This window comes from Homo sapiens, chromosome 1 (genome assembly GCF_000001405.40).
Source record: "Homo sapiens chromosome 1, GRCh38.p14 Primary Assembly".
Taxonomy (NCBI): Eukaryota; Metazoa; Chordata; class Mammalia; order Primates; family Hominidae; genus Homo; species Homo sapiens.
The window spans coordinates 241,188,391-241,206,162 of NC_000001.11; the positions used below are offsets into that span (position 1 = coordinate 241,188,391).

At 36.6% G+C, this 17,772-nt stretch overlaps 1 protein-coding gene across 20 annotated transcripts in view, besides 1 other annotated feature; it reads right to left on the reverse strand.

The window, feature by feature from the left end:
- The window catches only part of RGS7 (regulator of G protein signaling 7), a 582,489-nt gene that overhangs the window by 413,649 nt on the left and 151,068 nt on the right, over positions 1-17,772 (reverse strand). The window lies entirely within an intron of this gene.
- Positions 3,519-3,813: an enhancer, noted in NCBI's record as "tiled region #3307; HepG2 Activating DNase matched - State 9:DNaseU". NCBI's record gives its function as "activates a minimal TATA promoter and a strong SV40 promoter by Sharpr-MPRA in HepG2 cells {active_cell/tissue: HepG2}" and the evidence as "EXISTENCE:reporter gene assay evidence [ECO:0000049][PMID:27701403]".

A 17,772-nucleotide genomic window follows, 5' to 3' on the forward strand; every position in this document is an offset into this window, starting at 1 on the left:
AATAGTTGAGTGGGTTTTCAGAAAAAAAAGTATTCAATAAACAGGAAATATGTGCAAGAATAAAAAGAGAACCTTAATTATAATTATGTATTTCTTTTCAGCAGAGTGTTAAACTCTGGTAATAGAAAAAATATATTTTTTTCTTTTAATCCATGGACATTTTATTTACAAAATCTTATGATCATAGGTTTATTAATGATCCTCAGACGTTTTACTACAAAAAATGCTTGAGATTATAAACCACGACAGAAACAAATAAAACCACCTCATGATAGTCTTGGAACACTAAGAAAAAGTCCTAAGACTAATATTAATTGACTTCTATGGTCAATGGTTCTCTGACATTATTGTGTGACCTTAGGTAGTAAATTAGCCACTCCACAAATTTGTTTACTTATTTAGGAAGAGAAGTAGTAAGAATTCCTTTCCTATTACCACCTCAAATAATTATTGCCAAATTATATGAGGAAATACACACCAAAATACTTTGAAGGCTTCGAAATTCAGCAGAACTTCAAACTATCAACCAAACAATATACGAGTGCTCCAGTTCCTCTACATTCTCACCAACATTTGGTGTTGTCACTTTTGAATTTTTTTTTGAGACAGGGTCTCACTCTGTTGCTCAGGCTGGTGTTCAGTGGTGCAGTCATAGCTCACTGTGGTCTCAAATTCCTGGGCTCAAGCGATCCTCCCACCTCAGCCTCCCAAGTAACTGGGACTCCAGACACATGCCACCACACCTAGCTAATTTTATTTATTTGTTTATTTTTTTGTACAGACAAGAGTCTCGCTACATTGCCCAGGCTGAACTATTTTTATTTTACTGTTCTGATAGGTAGGTATGTAGTGATATATCATTGTGATTTTAATTGTTATTTCCCTAGGTGTTGGACATCTTTTTATGTGCTTATTTGCTATCTGTATAACTTTGGTAAAATGTTTATTTATATCTTTGCCCTTGGTCTAATTGTTTGCATTCTTACTGTTGTGTTAGAAGTTCTATAGTCTATATTCTAGATACTAGTCCTTTGTTAGATATGGGGTTTACCATTATTTTCTTCCGGTCTCTAGCTTGGCTTTTCATCCTTACTTAACAAAGTCTTTCACAGGGCAAAAGGTTTTAATTTTGATAAAGTCCAATTTATTCACTTTTTCTTTTATAAATCATGCTTTCGGTATCAAGTCTTAGAGCTATTTGCCTAGGACTAGATTCTGAATATTTTTTGCTTTTTCTTTACACTTTTTATAAAGTTTTACATTTTACATTTAAGTCCATGCTCCATTTTGAGTTAATATATTTAAAGTTTGTACAAGGTGTGAGACTTGAGGTTCATTTATTTTAGTCTATGGACATTTAATCGCTCTAGTATCATTTGTTGAAAGGTGATGTTTCCTTCATTGAATTGCTTTTGAATCTTTGTCCAAAAAATCAATTGGTCAGGCTGGGCGCGGTGGCTCACGTCTGTAATCCCAGCACTTTGGGAGGCCAAGGCGGGCGGATCACAAGGTCAGGAGATCGAGCCCACGGTGAAACCCCGTCTCTACTAAAAATACAAAAATTTAGCCGGGCGCGGTGGTGGGCACCTGTAGTCCCAGCTACTCGGGAGGCTGAGGCAGGAGAATGGCGTGAACCTGGGAGGCGGAGCTTGCAGTGAGCCGAGATGGCGCCACTGCACTCCAGCCTGGGCGACAGAGCAGACTCCGTCTCAAAAAAAAAAATCAACTGGTCCTATCTGTATGGGTATACTTCCACACCATCTATTGTGTTCCAAACTATCTATTCTGATTGCTAGTGGATTTATGTGTCTGTTCCACTGATAATCTTGATACTATAGTGACATAGTAAGTCTTGAAATGAGGCAGATTTATTTTTATCACATTATTTTTCTTTTCAAAATTGTTTTAGCTATTTTAGTTCCTTTGAATTTTCATATGAATTTTAAAATAATCTCAATATTTATAAAAATTTTGCTCATATTTTGATAAGAATTATGTTAAATCTGTATGTCAGTTTGTGAAGAACTGAGACTTTACTATGTCGAGTTTTCCAATCAGTAAAAATTGCATTTATGTCCATTAATTTACATTTTGTGTGCTTCCTTTGATTAGTACTGTAGTTTTCAGCACACAAGCTCTGTACATTTTGTAAGATTTACACCTAAATATTTACTTTAAAATGTTTCTGATTATTGTAAATGGTGTTATAATTTAAATTTTGATTTTCATGTGTTCATTGCTATGATAAATACAACAGATTTTTGTATGTTTATCTTCTATCTTATGAATTTGCTGAACTTATTTATCAGTTCTGTGGATGTTTTTGTAGATTTTTTTCATTTTCTATATAGACAATTATTCCATCTGAAAATGGTGACTGTTTTTTTTCCTTCCTGGTTTGTATGCCTTCCCCCAGCCCCATCTTATTGCATTAGCAATACCTTCCAGCACTATGTTGAATAAAAGTGGTGGAACCTGTTTCTAATTGAAGGGAAAAAGCTTTCAGGTTCTAGCCATTAAGTGTAATGTTAGCTGTAGTTTTCTTGCAGAGGGGATAGATGTTCTTTATCACGTTGTGAAAATTCTCCGCTATTGCCATTTTTTTTTTTTGCGACGGAGTCTTGCTCTGTCGCCAGGCTGGAGTGCAGTGGTGCGATCTTGGCTCACTGCAACCTCCGCCTCCTGGGTTTATGCCATTCTCCTGCCTCAGCCTCCCAAGTAGCTGGGACTACAGGTGCACGCCACCACATTCAGCTAATTTTTGTATTTTTGGTAGAGATGGGATTTCACCATGTTGGCCAGGATGGTCTCGATCTCTTGACCTTGTGATCCACCCTCCTTAGCCTCCCAAAGGGAGGGATTACAGGAGTGAGCCACCGTGCCCGGCCTCCACTATTGTTATTTTTATGAGAATTTTTTTATCATAAATGAGTATTTAATTTTTTTAAATGCTTTTTCTGAATTAGTTGATATGATCATGTGAGCCTTTTTTTCTTTAGCCTGTTAATACAATTAAACACATTGACTGATTTTCAAACAATGAATCATCCTTGCATTTCTAGAAGAAATCCCACTTTGATTATGATGTATAACTCTTTATATGTTGCTGAATTCTATGTGCTAATATTTTGTTAAAGACATTTTTATTTATATTTAGGAGATACATCGCTCTTTAGTTTCCTTTTTTGAACTGCCTTTGGTTTTGGTTCAAGGTAATACTACTTCATAAAATGATTTGAGAGGTATCTTCTACTCTTTTGTCTGGAAGAGATTGTGAATTGGTGTTAATTTTTCTTTAAGCTTTTGGTTGAATTCTCTGGTGAAATCATCTGGACCTAGATATTTCTTTTTGGGGAGTTTTAGATTATAAATTTAAGTTCCTTAATAGTCATAGGGCCATTCAAATTCTCGATTTCATGTTGGTTTACTTGTAATTTGTTTGGAATTGGCCTGCTTCATCTAAGTTGTCAAATTCATGTGTATAGAGTTGTTCATATGCGGGCAGGGGTGCCTCACTACCATCTAACAGAGATGTAAATTCAGGCTCCTTCCTGGGCTGCCTCTGTTATCACCCAGGTGAGGGTGTTTGGTCTCAACAGAGCCTCACAAAGGTCAAAGTCTACGTTTTCTACTCAGGCTTTGCTAACATGAGCAGAGGCGGGGCCAAACTTCTTTCTGTGGTGTTTGGCTGGAATAGAAAGGTTATTATCTAAAAGCTCCATATCTTGCCAGCCTGGCCCTTTCCTGATCATTTGGCTAGAGAAAACAGGTGTGTGTGTGTGTGTGTGTGTGTGTGTGTGTGTGTGTGTGTGTGTGTTTTGCTTTGATTTTGATTTGGCTTGGTTTTATTTTCTGTCTGCACGTGTGTGTGTGTGTGTGTGTGTGTGTGTGTGTGTTTGGTTTGCTTTGATTTTGATTTGGCTTGGTTTTATTTTCTGTCTGCACCTGTCCGCATTTCCAGGATTCTAGTTCTTTAGCATTAAGAACTCACTGCCATGTGGTTTTTCAGGTCCCAAAGGCCCCAGCTCAAATGTTTCTTTTCTCCACTTTTCAGAGTCCTTTATGTATATTTTATGTATAATGTTCAGAATTTTTACTTAGTGGGATGAAAAGGCAAAGAATGCCTACTTCAGCTTCTAGAAACAGAAGTCATCCAGGATTTAGTTTTAAATGAATTGGTCAAGATGAATTTCTGGTACATAAAATAGGCCTAGTCAAAACATGAATAATTTATCCATGAAACAAATTCCTTTTCGTGACATTTTTCCTTGGTGGGCCAATCTGCTATTCCCCATCAGAAAAGAGCCCAGGTGAGAGAAGAAGAAAATAGAAGAAAACAGAAAATCAGGAGGACTTTCTCTTTCTCACTCCTCACTTCATTCCTGCCTCACTCCCAAGGCAAGTTCAGAGCCCCACAGTACCAAGAGTTCAGGAAAATCCAAGGGCTGAATTCAACATCCATCTAGCCAGTAGAGATATTTTAAAAATCACACATATTATACTGACTTGAAAAAATATTTTCAGCACCTACTTTTTAAGTACTCTTATGCTAAACACAATGGAGAAAATTAAGGTACAAAGGCATAGCCTCTTTCAGAAAATCCATAAAACCTGTATCCAAAGAACTATAATAATGGGCAGGTTCTGAAGAATGACATAGAATGGGCCACACATCTCTAGGATAGGATTTAAAATGTCATTTAAATATAACACAAATGTTTGTATTGGGAACTCTAAATTGTCCTTGTCTACAGCCTTCTTCCTTCCCTTTCTTACAACCTATAAGATCAGACTTAAGTAAACTCCTAAGCTAATTTTGAATCATTTGTCCTCCCTAAGCCCATAATCACATGGCTAAGCCAAGAATTATTCAAACCTAATTCTCCCGCAAGACCTCATCCATTGCTCACTGCTCCTGAAGATGGTCTTGAGTATCCCCCTGGATCTGGGCCTCAGACTGTCTTTGCCACTCTCCTGTGTTACCACATGGAGTTGGTCCCCGCCATGTTTGGTCAGGTCTCTTAGAATGATAACTTCTAACATCATGGATCCTGAAAATTAGCTAATGTGATTTCCAACTACTGTGTCTCATCTAGCTGATATTATCAATCAATTCATCCTGCCTGAATTTATAACACCACATTTGGATATAGTGTTTAGTTGCTTAACATATGTTCAATAAGCATAAATTAAATACATATAGACAAATGGTCTAGAGCAGTCTTCATCATGCTTCTCCGGAAGGATCTAGAGTACTTATACAATTTGAGAAGATTGAGTTTCATACCAAGTAGGGACAGGGTCTGGAAACAGGCAGTACACAAACACTTGAATGTATGTTAAGACTGAGACTTCTGCTACAGAAAGTCAGAGGAAAGAATGTGACTTTCAGGTGAGATCAGCAAAGAAGGATTCCCTCTGCCACAAAATAACACCTTCTTTCCCAGAAACTCAGATTTCCTTTGATATAATTCACTATTAATTTTCACTCTAGGAGATGAAGCATCTGAATGAATGTTCCTGGAATATGCTTGGAACATGGGAATAAATCATGCTAGTTGATATGGAAGACAAACACAACACTCCAGCAATACTCTCTTAGGAATTCCCTCATCACCATTTAAATTGTTGATTTTCTGCTCTTCTGTAGAAATCTCTAGTTCTGGATGAACATAAGCACTGTCTATATTCGTTAGACAGCACAATACATATTAGTCTTTAATTTATTTCACCTACACCAAACCTAAATTTTTTCTTCTTCTAACTTTATGTCCTAATTTTCTTTACTTAATTTTGTCTACATTTTTGTCATCATTTTCTCTTAGATTTTTGTTCAGCTTTCCTTGAAACCCAATAAAAGCAAAAATTATATTGAGAAAAGACAAAATTTCACATCCCATATTCTACAGCTTGCTACCTCTGGGCACCAATGGACATTCAACTGAAATATAATTTTTTAAAGAATTTTATCAGTATAATAGACTCTTGGACTTGAATTATGAAGCCTAACAACTGGTGCTAAATCAGATGAAATTGTGAAGAAATGTCTGCAGTGTAGCTCTAACTAAAAGCTATATTCTAACAAGTCGGCGATGGAGCCTCCAACTTTCTCATGCCTCTGGATGGAATTTATTCCCTAAACTCAGTAAAGCCACTGACTTTCAGAAAATGAATAATCTAAAAAAACTGCAAAGGCAAGGCTTTTGTTCTTTAAAAAAAGAAATGAAGCTAACTTCTGCTTATGGCAATGGAGATCAGTTTATTTTGCACCAATTTCCTACTGAAAATAACTATAAAGGCTGAACAAAATGTCCAAAACCCATCTGTTTGAAGTCATCAGAGAGCCATCAAGGTAAAGAGGGGCTTCAGGGCAAATAATCTGACAGAGGCAAGCCAAGAGATGTTCACCCCCCAAAGCAGTTACTAAAGGCTTGGAGGTTGACAGGAGTATTTAAAAGTCGCACTGAGAAGGACAACACAAATTTGAGTTTAGTGCCTTCCAGGAATGAAAAATCCTTGGATAAAGACTTAGGATATCACTCTGCAATCTACAGGGCTTCACCCTGCAAGTGAGTGTAAACAGAAAATAGAACAAGCCTTATAAAGGTTTAAGAAAAGTTTTAGGTCAGCTCAAGTCCTAAAGGATTAAGGTGATTGGCATCTCACTTAGCTGCCTGGTAGAAGCAAGTTGAAGTCCCACCTGGAGAAAAACATTCACTGAAGCCTCAAAATGCCTTGCAAGTTTTCATCTAAAATGTATGACACTCAATGAAAAATTAATAGCATATTAAATAGATTTGACCAGCGGGGCGTGGTAGCTCACGCCTGTAATGCCAGCACTTTGGAAAGCTCAGGTGGGCGGATCACCTGAGGTCAGGAGTTCGAGACCAGCCTGGCCAATGTGGTGAAACCCCGTCTCTACTAAAAATACAAAAATTAGCTGGGCATGGTGGCGGGCACCTGTAATCCCAGCTACTCAGGAAGCTGAGGCAGAAGAATCACTCGAACCCGGGAGGCAGAGGGTGCAGTGAGCCGAGATCGCGCCATTGCACTCCAGCCTGGGTGAAAAGAGCAAGACTCCATCTAAAATAAATAAATAAATAAATAAATAAAGATTTGACCAGCTAACAAGAGGGAAAGAAAACCAGACAGTGCAAAATTATCCATGAGAAATGCAGTTGTTGTATTTATCTGATAGGACTTAAGATAACAGTGATTAAAATGTTTAAAAGATTAAATAAGGCAATACAATTCAGTGAAGAACAAAAAATTATAAAAACAAAGAAAATATAAATTCTAGAACTGAAATTAAGAACTTTACAGATAGATGTAACAATAAGACATACAGGACTATTGAAAAAATAGTGAATTGGAAGATAGGTCAGAAATAAATATTGAGAACAAAAGAGGGAGAAAAAATTACAGAAAATAAAGAAAAGAGCATGCAAAATTTATGGGACAGGTACAATGAAAAGATCTAATACACATGTAACTGAAATTTCAGTAAGACAATGAAAAGAAAAATGGGGCACAAGCAATATTTGAAAAGATAGTTGCTGAGGATTTTTCCAAACTGATCAAATACTTTATTCAAGAAATGCTATGAGCCTTAAGAAGAAAGAATACAAAGAAAACCACATAGCTAGATGCATCATAGTTAAATTTCTGAAAACCAAAGTCAAAGAGAAATCTTAAAAAAAGAAAGAGATAGAGAAAAAAGTGTATTAACTTCAAAGGGGGGACAATAAGAATGACAGCTAATAGCTGACTTCTTAATTGAAACAATGGAAGCCAGAAGACAGTAGAAAGATATCTTTAGAAAGGGGTGGGGGCAGAGGTCAACCTGTAATTATGTATCAGTATTAAGTGCAATACAAAAATTCACAAAATAAAAGCATTTTCACACAAATAAGAACTGAATGCACCAGCAGCAGATGAACAGAGAAAATACTAAAGGATATTCAAGAAGAAGTAAATTTGTACTAAAAAATGTGTAAAAAAAAACCCCATCTGTTTGAAGTCATCAGAGAGCATGGAGAAAAACATTCATTTAAGCCTCAAAATAGCATATTAAAAATATTTGACCAGCTAACAAGAGGGAAAGAAAAACCAGACAGTGCACACAAATATCCATGAGAAATGCAGTTATTGTATTTATCTGATAGGAACTTTAAGATAACAGTGATTAAAATATTTAAAAGATTAAATAAGGTGATACAATTTATTGAAGAACAAAAATTTGGCGATGCAGAAAGGAATGAAGAGTAACTAAAAGGAGTAAATATGTGGATAAACACAAGTGAATATTGACTATAAAACAATAATACTAAAGTCTTATGGATTCTTAAGTATTTAGAAAATTGTAACACATGAGAACATAAATTAGAGTATGGGTAAATGAGGCTAAAGTGTATTCTAACTTTTGCATTGAGTTGGTGTTGGTAAAAATAGTAATTTATGTTAGACTTGAATTTCAGGGATGTATTATATTTCATAAGCTAGGGTAAGCACTAATACAATGGTAAAAGAATGTGTATCTGACCAGCTAGTACTGGGGAGAAAGGGAAAAATAAATAATACTGAATCCATCCAAAAGAATGTAAAAAAAAAAAAAAAAGAACAAATAAGGAATATGCTGGGTTAATTAGAAAATAAATGTAAAGTTCTAGATTTTAAACTTAATATATCAATAACATTAAATGTAAATGGACTAAACACTCCAATTAAATAACAAACATTTTCAGGCTGGATTTAAAAAATAATTATATGACACAAGAGACTCACCTTAAATATAAGAATATAAAAAAGTTGAAACTAAAAATAGAAAATATATATACCATAAAAATACTAATCAAAGTATCTTTTTTTTTTTTTTTTTTTTTGAGACGGAGTCTCGCTCTGTCGCCCAGGCTGGAGTGCAGTGGCGGGATCTCGGCTCACTGCAAGCTCCGCCTCCCGGGTTCACGCCATTCTCCTGCCTCAGCCTCCCAAGTAGCTGGGACTACAGGCGCCCGCCACTACGCCCGGCTAATTTTTTGTATTTTTAGTAGAGACGGGGTTTCACCGTTTTAGCCGGGATGGTCTCGATCTCCTGACCTCGTGATCCGCCCGCCTCGGCCTCCCAAAGTGCTGGGATTACAGGCGTGAGCCACCGCGCCCGGCCTAATCAAAGTATCTTAATCTCAAAGTAGATGGTATAGCAAGAAGCACCACTAGAGATAAAGATCACTTTCCATAATGATAGAACAGTCAATCCATGAGGAAGACACATTTTAAAACTTGTGCACAGTTAATAAATAGTGTCAGAATATACAAAGGTAAATTATTAGAAGTAAAAGGAGATATATAAAAATTCAAAATTGTAGTGAGAGATTTCCATACATATACTTATTAACTGATGGACCAGGCAGAAAAAAACAATCAGTAAAGAGATAAAAGACCAAAAAAAAAAAAAAAGATTGCAAACTTGATCTAGTTGAAATATTCAAAACATTACTACTGTATAATAATATTCTTCCCAAATGCATAATTTACCAAAATTAAACATTATCTATCTATCTATCTATCTATCTGTCTACCTACCTACCTACCTACCTAGTTTCAAAGGTTTGGAAATGTGAAGTATATTTTCCAACCTAAATGGAGTTAACCTAGAAATGGGTAAGAAAAATAAGTAGAAAATATCATGGACTTGGAACATAGACTATTTTTCAATAATTCATGAGCAAGAGAAGAAATTACAAGAGAAATTTAAAAATAGTTTGAAATAATAATGATAATGTAACATCTCAATACTTGTAAGGTTCAGGTAAAGTCATGCTTAGAAAGAAATTTATATTTAATATATACATGAGACAAAGGCTGAAAAATCAACGATTAAGCACTAAACTCAAAAAATCAACAAAGAGCAAATTAAATGCAAATAAAGTGAAAACTAGAAAACAATAAAAAATAAGAGTGGAAATCAATATAACTGAAGCAAACACATAATAGAAGAATAACTAAGAAAAAAGGTGGTTCTTTGAAAAGGCTAATATAGTTGATGATAACTTGTCAATACCCTGATCATAAAAAAGGCAGAAAAAAATCCATAATGAACAATGAGATTATTACAGCTCACATAGGCATTAAAAAGGTAATAGAATATTTTGAATAGCTGTATGCCAATGCATTTGAAAATTGACATAAAATGAACAAATTTCTGAAAAAACACAAGCTAACTAAACTGACACAAGAAAACGTATCATTTCTAAAAATATGAATATTTCTATATTTGTGAAAGAAAATACATTTATAATTTTAAAACTTTTCATAGGAAAATCTATAACCTCAGTGTTGTTACTGGTAAATTTTACCAAACACATTTGGAAAAACAAAATACCAATCTTACGTTAAGTTCTTTCAGGAAACAGAAAAAACGTGGAACATTTTCCAGCTGTTTTTTTGAGGTTACCATAATCTTCATATCAAACCTGACAAGGACTTTACAAGAAAAATCAAACACCAATCATTGTCATAAACCCGTATGCAAAAATATTACAAATTTGTGCTAACCAAATCCATTAATATAGAAAAAAGATAATATACAACCAAACAGCCTAGTTCGGTTTATTCCAAGAATGGAAAATTGGCATAACATGTAAAATCAGTTAATGTAATTCACCATATGAAGAGAATAAAAGGAAACAATCATCTCAAGAAATGTAAAAAAAAGAAGTCATCTGATTATTTATCTGATTTATTTATAATAAAAGCCCTTAGCAAACAAAGAATAAAAAAAAAAGACTTTATTGGCCGGTCTCACGCCTGTAATCCCAGCACTTCGGGAGGCCGAGGCGGGCGGATCATGAAGTCAAGAGATCAAGACCATCCCAGCCAACATGGTGAAACCTCATCTGTACTAAAAAAAATACAAAAATTAGCTGGGTGTGGTGGCATGCCTATAGTCTCAGCTGCTTGGGAGGCTGAGGTTGCACTGAGCTGAGATTGCGCCACTGCACTCCAGCCTGGTGACAGAGTGAGACTGTCTCAAAAAAAAAAGGACTTTATTTATTTAGTAAACAGTATCTAGAAATAACTTCCAGCAAACATTATACAGAATGGTAAAATATTAAAAATTTTTCCTCTAAAATCAAGAACAAAGTAAAAAATGCCAGTGTTACTTACATTTGACATGTACAAGAGGTCCTAGTCAATGCAATAAGGCAAGAAAAAGCCAAAACATGTGAGGATTTTAATGGAATGAATGACAGAAGTCTAGTCCTCTTCCCTTTCAAAATAAGCTGTGGCTTCCAGAAAAAAAAAAAAAAGAGAAAGGATGATGGGAATGAAAACAACAGCAGATATCTACTATGTTTCTCTAGATGAAAATAAATATAGTTACTCTGTTTTTAGCTGACAACTAGTCAGTGTCAGGATATTGATGAACCTCAGTCCGTCAATCAGAAAAACTACTGCTATCATCACACAGAAGGGGTTAGAATTCAAGCTGTACTGCCTGCTAGCTGTAGGACCTTTGACAGGTCATATAGCATGTCTAGCATTTAGATCCTTCATCTGCAAAATGTGGGTGGCAGAAGTACTTGCTTCCTCTGCCTGTATGAAGATTAAATAAAATTATACAATGTAATAACCCTAACATATAAATACAAAATAAACGTTAGATGAATTTTACTGAAATTATTAGTAACAACTCCAAAGCCTTGGTTCCTTCAGTTAAGGCGACCACTGAAGTTAATCTCATGTGAAAATAAATTATACCCCAAATTTAACACAAACAACTATAACAGGTGATCTGGAACTGAAAATAATAACAAAAAATTAATGAAGCTTACATTAATGAGATATTTAAATATTACCTTACTTTTTTCAAAAAGTGTTCCTTTTCTCTCTCTTTCCCATGATTTTTTTAAAAAAAGCTTTTAATTGCTGCAAACCGGCAGAAAAATACTTATTTATATCTTAAAGGTACTGCTCAATGAATTTTCACAAACTAAACACGTCCATGTAACCAACACCCAGATCAAATTCTTCCCATGATTTGATCATTCAGAAAATCTTTGACAAAGAGGTTGACAAACTCAAGCTGGAGTCAGACAACCCAGATGCTAATTCTGGCTCTAATAGGGATGCACTGGTTGACTTAAATTAGCTCCTTCCCTACATCCTTTGCATCCTAATTTTTCTCATGTGGAAACTAAGAGCAACACATTCCCCTGCCCCTCCAACCTCTTGTTTCACAGTGGAGTTCCAGGACCATAACTGCAGGCAACCAAAACCGTCTTCCTAAAGCTCCCTCTCCTTTAGCTTCCATGAGTCTAGACCTTCCTGAATTTCATCCACTGCCCCCGGATTATTGCTTAGTTTAGTTTCTGTTCATCTTTGAATGAAGACATTTCCCAAGATTCTGTTCTGCCCCCAACTCTCCTCAGTTTCTCATTAAATTTCTCACTGCACTTTCTCATTCAATTCCTGGTTAGTTTCATCTGATCACCTCCATGTCCAGACTTCCAAGTGCAAAATCCAACCCTAATTTTTCTCCCCAACTCCAGTCCAAGATTTTCAACTACCTGCTGATATCTTCAAGTCCTGTTGATACATCAGTCCCAATCTATCAAAAGAGAAATCATCTTTCCTCCCCATACCTTCTCCCTATGTTATATTCTTTACTTTGATTACCACTTCTGGTCACCTCTGTAAGACACCTGGGAATCATCAGCTTTCTCTGGTTCACTTGCCAAATCTTGTTAATTCTACCACCCCAATATCCTTTGAAATGTCCCTTTGTCACTATGCCTACCCCACTTCTCTAATTCAGTTCATCTGCCTGAGGGATTTCAAGAGTTTCCTGACTGATCTGCTACTCATGGATCTAATTTCTGCAATGCATCTTTCATTCTCTAATGGACTTCTTTTCCTAAAGGTGTGTCAGATCATGAAAATTTCCTGCCTTTAGTCATCCTACATAAAAGCAGAATAAAGAACAAACTCCTTGGCCTGTCAACCTAAAAGGACGGTTCCTTTCCAGAACCATCCACCATGAAATAGCATCATACAAATTACACTGGAGCCTCACCAGAGTGTGCACTGTTCCTGCATTTCCATAAACCCATGATTTTCTAACTTTTTGCCTCTTCTGTACTCACCAAAGTGATATGTATCCTTAAATTTCTTCCCTGGCCTTCACAATCAGAATAAATTAGCCCTTCATTTCAGAACCAACACCACTTTTTTTTAATACATATATAAGAACTTAAAAATAAAACTACTTTTGTCTACTTTGTGTCAAGCATTTGAATAGGTACTTTATATGCTATAATTCATTTAATCCTCATTAGTTGAATCTTCACAGCAACTTTACATTTTAGAGATGAGAAACTTGGTCTAATTAAGGCTGAATGGTTCACCCGAGGTCTTACTAAAGTGAAGTAAACGTAGGAGCCAGGATCAGAATCCAAGACTTTGGGATTCCAAAGTCAATTTTCTTTATACTTCGCAAAATAATTTCTACAGCTAATTGTTTATATGTGTCTCCCTAAAAGACTGCAAGCTCTCAGCTGAGAATGTGAATAATCTATTTCAGCCCACTACCTCAACCCTGCAAACACACAGACACACACAGACACACACACACACACACACACACACACACACACACAGAGACACCCTAATTGGGTTACTTCCACAACAGTTTGACTCTGTAACTGTTGAGGAGGTGAATGAATAAATTATCAAGGTTCTTACATTAATACCTACTCAGATCTTATGATAGATATTAATGACAAAAGAGGTATTTCTGTACCTGTCTCTGTGGAACTTGCAAACACAGAAAAGAACAATAACAAAATAACATCAGTTGTAGCATTTACTAGTCCAGAAATAGCTCACCTATGAAACAAACACAATTTTAATTCATTTTCCCCATCCCCTAATAGGAAAATAGTTCTTTCTGTGGGGGCCAAGGGAAAACTTCCCTGTCACACTCTGAAGGTTCACTGAAAATCACTGACAAAAGGCAGATTAACAAGAGAAAAGGCATACAAATTCATTTGGTCATAGTTTTGCATGACACGGGAGCCTTCAGAATGAAGAGCCAAAGAGACAGGAGAAATTGTCCATTTTTATGCTTAGATTCAACAAAGGATGAACAGCTGTGTTGAAACACGATTGGGCAAAAAGGGAATGATCTAATGGTAACAGACTGAGTGGGGAAGCTCAGCAACGCCTGTCTGTTTAGATTTCTGGGCCTCTCTGAAGCTTTCCTTCCTTCTGGGTATGAGGCAGGCCCCTCTCTGGAATGCAGGTGTTATGACCTACAGTCAAACAAGTCAGATAAGTTCTTTACGGCTAGTTTTTATACAGAAGTGGGGAGGAGTGTAGGGGGCAGTTAGAGTAGTATTTTTAGGTTTTATGGCTGGCTTTAGGGGAAAGGGGTTCTGGCTTCTATGACCCGCCTTCAGGAAGGGGAATTCTAGTTTCTATGCCTAACCTTGGGGGAGAGTAAGAGGCCAGAGACAGGAGGGAACGAGGTCAGAGAAACATGCTTCTGAGTCCCTCATATTGGGATATCATTTTCTGAGCTTTAACATTTCTGTAAGAATAATGACAACTAATTTGAGGTGCAGCACTAAAAATAGAAGGAATCTAGCAGCTCTTGAGGGGTCCATCCTGAGTTGCTTTGTTCTGATCACTTAGCATGTGATCTTGCTACCTAGAAAATTATTTTACCTGTGGTTTTTCTCATTGAAACCCAGGCCATAAATTCCATCCTGCACTACCTTCCTTCCACTCGATCACATTTGCATTTTTTGGCTGCCACGAGACTTACCTTGAGTTCTGCTTCTTTTTTTATTTTTATTTTTGAGATGGAGTCTCGCTCTGTCACCAGGCTGGAGTGCAGCAGCGTGATCTCGGCTCACTGCAACTTCCACCTCCCAGGTTCAAGCGATTCTCCTGTCTCAGCCTCCCAAGTAGCTGGGACTACAGGTGCCCACCACCATGCCTGGCTAATTTTTGTATTTTTAGTAGAGACGGGTTTCACTGTGTTGGTCAGGATGGTCTCGATCTCCTGACCTTGTGATCTGCCCACCTCGGGCTCCCAAAGTGCTGGGATTACAGGTGTGAGCCACCGTGCCCGGCCTGAGTTCTGCTTCTTTCCAAGATAGATCCTCTGGTTTTCTGTTGATTCTGTGAGCACCAGGTACTCCAAAGAATATCATTTCAACAAACAGTTTTCTGTTTAAACCAATCAAAGTAAGATCCTATGGCTTGAAATTAAGAATCTTGCCTGACATAATCCCTGTCTCTTGATAAACACAAACAGGCAATCACCAAACCAGTGCCATAACTCCACAACTCAATTTTTAAAAATTAAAATATAATAAATCCCCTCTCTTTTCATTTATTCGTTCGTTCATGGCAGGTACATTTCTAGATAATGAAGATACAGTTATAAATTTTGATGGATTTTACAATTTTCATATCTTTGTTATTGGCAACCAAAGGGTATAACATGCACAGTCCAGACAAGGAAGTTAATCAGAAACAGTAAAAACTTATCTTCCCGAAATGATAACCTGAAGGTCAAATACAACAGGAGCTACTCTTGCCCTTTCAAATGGCCAACAATCTGAAGATATCAACTAAATGCCAAATATTACCAAAAGTAAATACTATAGGAGTTGCCCAGTTTGTTAGGTGAGAGTTTAAAGGAAACTTTAGAAAGAATGAGCCTGAAATGATGGGAGGAACACAGGTGTGTATAGAGAAGGAGGGATGGAACCATTTATGGTGAAATTTTCTCAGAAATGGCACAAAGAAAGGAGCTCAAGAATCACAGTCAACACCCAAGGAGGAGGGTAATTCATTGGATTGAAAGGATCCCAGAGGAATAAAAAGTTGTAGAAGAAAAGACCAAACTATTGCATTTGCTCACCAAGTTCTAGAGAATTATTTTATCCTCTAGGTCACAGAGATGGGCTGCAGGGGGTGGATAGATAAGATGTGGTGTGCAAGTTCTTAAAATATGTACTGCATATCATACATTTTAGGTGGGTATTGGACAATTTTCTTAGTGAATAAAGAGGAAATTCATTTAGCAAAAATCAAAATTAAGGTAACTCTAGCATTCTTTTTCCTTTCTCTCTGAAAAGGTAATAATTGTGATATCTGCCAATTTATAATAGAAATGTTTAAAAACAAAAGAATTAAACTTAGAGAGTTCTCCTTAAAAGTCAGACAAATTTATCAACAAAAGAGAAGAAACCATTGTCTCAAGTGTCTTTTTGTTGTTTCTTTATTCTTCTTATTTTCTGCAAAAAAAAAAAAGAATGAGCCTATGAAAAGCAATGTTAATGATGGCACACTCTGGGGTTTTCACTAATGTTTTAAATAGGCTTTACATAGAGCAGCAATTATGTGAGATGATATAGTTAAACAGTATCGATAATAAAATATTCCATTTGAGCACCTCAAAATACTTTGGACTAATTCATATTAGAACATCTTGCTATCAGAACTGTTGAGTTTAAAATAATATACACATATGTATATGTATACTCATATATTATATAAACACAGTTACACAAAAGTAAATTTATTTATTAATAGATTCATCCCTTTTTATCTATGGTCATAAAATTCAAGGATCAGTAATAGAATCCATAGATCCCCTAAATTCATTTGTGATTTTTTTTTTTTTTTTTTTGAGATGGAGTCTCACTCTGTCAACAGGCTAGAGTGCAGTGGCACCATCCTGGCTCACTGCAACCTCTGCCTCCTGGGTTCAAGCGATTCTCCTGCCTCAGCCTCCAGAGTAGCTGGAATTACACCACTATGCACACCACGCCCAGCTAATTTTTTTTTTTTTTTTCAGTAGAGACGGGGTTTCACCATGTTGGCCAGGATGGTCTCGATCTCTTGACCTCATGATCCACCCGCCTCGGCCTCCCAAAGTGCTGGGATTACAGGCATGAGCCACTGTAACCGACTGCATTTGTCATCATTTTTTAACATCTTTCTTATTCATAAACCAATTAGCTAGTGGGAAAAAATTAATTAGCATTTGTAGGATATACTTTTTTTTTTTTTGAGACAGAGTCTTGTTCTGTTGTCTAGGCTGGAGTGCACTGACACGACCTTGGCTCACTTCAGCCTCCACCCCCCAGGTTCAAGTGATTCTCCTACCTCAGCCTCCTGAACTACAGGCATGCAACCACCACACCCAGCTAATTTTTGTATTTTTGTATTTTTAGTAGAGACAGAGTTTCACCATCTTGCCCAGTCCAGTCTCGAACTCTAGACCTCAGGTGATCCACCCACCTCAGCCTCCCAAAGTGTTGGGATTACAGGCGTGAGCCACTGCACCTGGCCAGGATATACTATCTTGATTTTTTCCTAATCTTAACTTTAAAGATGCTCCTATGAATAATACTAATAAGGTCCCAGGTAATGAGAGAGAACAAAGGGTAAAGAGTCTTGGTAATTCCCAGGCTAGACAAATATTAATAGACCTATGGAGAGGTACAAGACAGCTGACTTGTTAGAACTGTGCAGTTTGTTACTGAAGCCAAAAATTTGGCAGTAATTTCTAGACAGTAATTTCGTAAGTGTTTTTTTTTTTTACATTTATGCCCCCATGTTTAACCCACTAGCAAATTCAGTTGACTCAGCCCCCAAAACACACCTGAGATAATCTATTTCTAGGCATCCCCATTATAATCACCCTGGTCCCATGGACCATTATTTCTGGCCTGAACTAATGCAACAGCTTCT